Source organism: Homo sapiens, chromosome 10 (genome assembly GCF_000001405.40).
Source record: "Homo sapiens chromosome 10, GRCh38.p14 Primary Assembly".
NCBI classification, from domain to species: Eukaryota; Metazoa; Chordata; class Mammalia; order Primates; family Hominidae; genus Homo; species Homo sapiens.
The window spans coordinates 29780028-29784801 of record NC_000010.11 but is presented as its reverse complement, the minus strand read 5'-3'; the positions used below and the strand labels follow the sequence as shown (position 1 = coordinate 29784801).

Here is a 4774-nt window from a genome sequence, read left to right as displayed (position 1 = left end):
CCTAATGAAAAATGAAAACTACACTACTCAATCCCACACTAAACCACTTGAGGTATCAATGTAAGTTTGGCCTTCTAGGACTCTGAAATAAACATCCTTTGCCTCGAGAACCTGCCAATGAATGAGTCTTGATCCCATGACTGGGTTAGCATACCACTGTTGGTGGTTGTTGTTATTTAAAAGCCACCTTTCCTCTATTCTGAAGTTTCCTGCCTCCGGGCTACATGTCAACATCAGGAATGACGCAGCCTTACAGCTGGCAAGACTGTGAAGCCGGTGACTCAGGATAACGAAAATAAACACTCTCATTGCTGAGGAGTCCCACAGTCTCTGGCTACTTTGCCCTATTTTCTGCCCCATCCTGTGCCTTCTTTCCTTTTGTCCTTCTCCTGGATGCTTTCTGCATCTCTTTTGCTGCAGGATGTGGTGGCCATCCCCATTCTCTGCGATTTTAATGAACATCAGCTGTCTGGGAGAAGACTCCCAACATCTGTCTTTTTTTTTTTTTTTTTTTTTTTTTGAGACTGGGTCCAGGCTGGAGTGCAGTGCTGCGCCCTGCAACCTCTGCCTCCTGGGTTCAAGTGATTCTCCTGCTTCAGCCTCCTGAGTAGCTGGGATTACAGGCACCCACCACCACACCCAGCTAATTTTTGTATTTTTAATAGAGACGGGGTTTCACCATGTTGACCAGGCTGGTCTTGAACTCCTGACCTCGAGTGATCCACCCACCTCGGCCTCCCAAAGTGCTGGGATTGCAGCCATGAGCCTCCATGCCCGGCCCCCAACATCTGTCTTGTTCAAAAAAGAGCCAGCATGTAGACAGGGACGGACCACACCAGGCAGGGCTGGGGATGCTGGCCAGGAGATGGGATCTGATCATCAACTGAAATGTTACCTGGGAGGTCTTCAGATTGGCTGCCTCATCTCCTTTCTCTCCAGGGGATGCTTGCTAGCACATGGATCTTACTTCACCTCTTCTGGACAGTTTCCCTTCCCCCTGGCAGCCCTCACCAGGCTTCTGGGAAGTGAGGGGACATAGGAAATGGACTTCACACTATTACTGAACAGATGAGAGTCCCTGAAGTCATGGATTCATTTCCTTCCTGAGTAGCCTTGTCACCCTTGTTGTTTCTCTCCACAGGTTTCAAGTTGCCCTAGCATGCAGGATGAGATGGCTTCAGAGAGGATGGGCAGCCCGGTTTGTATGTTCTGTCTATAATATGCTGTTTGGGTTGGTTCTGGAAAAAGATCTAAGCAAGTCTCACAAAGAACAAAGGATTGCAGCTCAGTTACCTGCTGAGAAGCACCCCAACTGGATCTTGCCTCTAAGGCTCATTGACTTTACTCTCCATTTCTTCTGCTTCTCCAGCATCAGAGTGACAGTGGAAAGTACCTTGGGCTTTGTGGTCAGAAGAGCCCAGCTCCAGGGCAGTGTGTTTCCTGAAGCCATGTGACCTTGAGCAAATCGCTTTTGTCTTTGACCCTCTGTTTTCTTCTGGGTTAATGAAAATAGGGTAAGGATACCTTTTCTACAATCGACTATTTATTAAATGATATGATGAAATGAATTATGACATTGCTGGAGATGATAATAGCATTGTGGAAACCATATGTTATCTAGGGCTTGCTTTAGAATATCCTAGCAAAAAATAAAAAGGAGGAAGAGACAGGATAAATGAAACAGGCTTGGCAAAATATTGATAACTATTAAAGGAGGATGCTAGGTTTGGGGGGTCTAGTCTAGTATGCGGTCTATTTTTGTGTCTGTTTGAAATTTTCCACAATAAAATTTTTTTTTAAATTAACCATTTTGTATCCCAATAGGATCAATAAAATAATGGATAGAAATACCCTTTATAAATATGAATACCCTACAGAAAAACAGTGTCTTGCTGTAGAAAAGATTATCACACACTGGTTCTCTAACTAAATAACTGCAAGGATGCGCCTCTCTCATTGACTGAATTTGTCTGTAATCGCTGTAATGCATCCGACTGGCAAATACATGGAGAAGCCCATTCTCTCTGCCCTCATCCCCAGCTCTCCAAATACAGGGAAGATCCAGAGCCTCTTGTGGGGCAGAAGGCAGAGTTGCTTGACCGCCCCAAACAGGTTTGAATTGCCTCTCCCTCTTTTTCAGGGCGATGCTTCTTTGCCACAGGTTCATGACTGCCTGCCACTTCCTCTCTGTTCTCCTGCCTCCTCTGTCTGGAAGACATGTCCAGTTTCCTCCACTCCTGGATTCTCCTTGCTTTTGTCCTCAGACCATCAGATTCAAGAGAGGCAGTGCAGGTGGATGGCAAAGGGACCCGGATACAAAAAGCTGAGTCAGGCCCCGGGCCAGGGCTAACCATGCGCAGGGCAGAGTCCCTGGGGCTGCAGTTGGTTATCATTACTGTTTTCTTTTTCTTTTCTTTTCTTTTTTTTTTTTTTTTTTTTTTTGAGACGGAGTCTCGCTCTGTCGCCCAGGCTGGAGTGCTGTGGCACGATCTCTGCTCACTGCAAGCTCCGCCTCCCGGGTTCACGCCATTCTCCTGCCTCAGCCTCCCGAGTAGCTGGGACTACAGGCGCCCGCCACTACGCCCAGCTAATTTTTTGTGTTTTTAGTAGAGATGGGGTTTCACCGCGTTAGCCAGGATGGTCTCAATCTCCTGACCTCATGATCCGCCCGCCTCGGCCTCCCAAAGTGCTGGGATTACAGATGTGAGCCACCGCACCCGGCCTTAATTTCTGTTTTTAAAGACAGTGTCTCACTCTGTCACCCAGGCTGGAGCATAGTGCTGCGATCACAGTGACACAGGAAAATAGGGTCTGAAGGCAGGGAACATAAGGCCGATTCACACTTCAGCTATAACAGGAAATAACCTCTCCATAGGGCGTACGAGGTGAATGACTTTGTAATTTTACTTCATCGTCTCCGTTTTACATAGGACATACCTGAAGTAAGCAATGGAGTCCTCTAGGGGATATTTAAACTCCCAAAAATTCTGTAAAGGGGCCTCTGAGCCCCTATGCTCAAGCCTGCTCCCACACTGGAATATGCTTTCATTTTCAATAAAACCCTTCATTCCTTCCTTGCTTTGTTTGTGCATTTTGTCCAATTCTTTGTTTAAGACGCCAAGAACCTGGACACCCTCCACCGTTAATAATAGTTCACTGCAGCCTCAAACTCCTGGGCTCAAGTGACGCTCCAGCCTCAGCCTCCCAAGTAGCTGATACTACAAGCGCCTGCCGCCATGCCCAGCTCATTTTTCAGTTTTTGTACGGAGTCTGGCCATGTTGCCCAGGCTGGTTTCAAACTCCTGGGCTTAAGCCATCCTCCTTCCTAGGCCTCCTAAAGTGCTGGGATGACTGATGTGAGCCACTGTGCCTGGCTAGCCCAGCATTACTGTTTTTGAGCTCTGGGAGCAGTGGATGTTAGGTACTGGTTCTGCAAATATGACAAACACTGATTGCTGTCCCAAGGAACTCATTTGTGTCTGATAGTAGAGAAATGCAGATAAACAAAGAGTTGTGAAATGAATTAAGTTCCGGGGATAGACACATGTAGAGAAAATGAATACAATCTCAGCCAGTGCAGTGGCCCACCCCTGTAATCCCAGCAATTTGGGAAACTGAGGCAGGCGTATCGCTTGAGGTCAACATGGTGAAACTCCATCTCCACTACAAGTACAAAAATTAGCCAGATGTGATGGTTTGTAGCTGTAATTCCAGCTACTCAGGAGGCTGAGGCAGGAGAATCGCTTGAACTCAGTGGAGGTTGCAGGCAGAGATCGCTCCACTGCACTCCAGCCTGGGTGACAGAGTGAGACCCTGTAAGAAAGAAAGAAAGAAAGAGAGAAATTGAGAAAGAGAGAGAGAGGGAGGGAGGAAGAGAGAGAGGGAGGAGGGGGGGGAAGGGAAGGTAATGGAAGCGAAGGGAAGGGAGAAAGAAAAGAGAAAGAGAGAAAAGAGAGAGAGAAGGAAAGAGGGAAAGGAAAGAAAGGAAAGGAAAAGAAAAAGGAAAAAGGAAAGGAGGAAAGAAATTAGGACCTCAGAGGAGATGCCCCACCCTGCCTCTGGGTATTTAAATGGTGGATGGAGTGAAGGCTGTGTCGCAGTCACAGAGTGACCTGAACTCCTGAACTCAGCATTAAAAGATGAGTAGGTGGCATGAAAAAAGGAATTGCAAGTCTGTGCCACAGCACAGAGAGGTGAGGGAGTGGATGGAAAGACACACGCCCTTCCTCCTCCTCTGTTTGTGAAATCCTTCTCTTGGAAGAATTCTATGATAGAATCGTGAATCCCTACATCAGAGAGCAAGAGGACTAACTCACTTGCTTCCTCCAGATGAAACACTTAATAAGAGCTTATTAACAAGTGACAAATGATTGTGGAACCACAAAGGGACCCGGGTAGATTTGCAGAAAGAGGAAAGAATACTTTTTTTCCTATGCTGATCAGGAAAGAACCAAACAGCCCTGGGACCATACCCTGGCTGTCATCCAGGAGAAAGGATATTTTTCAAACATTGAGAAGTTCTTTTTGTTACTGTCTTCCATTAACAGGAAACCCTGTTTGTTTTCTAGGTCAAATTCAGTGCCTGCTCCTCATGATTCCTGTGTTGAGTTTGGATGATTAAGGCTAATGTTTCTCCTCATTCTAATGATCTATTTTTCATTGTGGAGTCTATATTGTCCACAATTAGTCATATTAGTTTATTTTGCATTTTGCATAAGCTTTTTTTTTTTTTTTTTTTTGAGACGAGTTTTGCTCTTGTCTCCTAGGCTGGAGT

The 4774-nt window shown here is 46.1% G+C and overlaps 1 long non-coding RNA gene across 1 annotated transcript; it reads left to right on the top strand.

Moving 5' to 3' along the window:
* The first annotated feature begins 280 nt into the window (after positions 1-280).
* On the top strand, positions 281-3074 carry LOC105376475 (uncharacterized). The gene is made up of 3 exons (XR_930788.4): positions 281-1202; positions 1370-1514; positions 2141-3074. It is a non-coding gene; the product is annotated as an uncharacterized LOC105376475 (long non-coding RNA).
* Positions 3075-4774: the final 1700 nt, after the last annotated feature.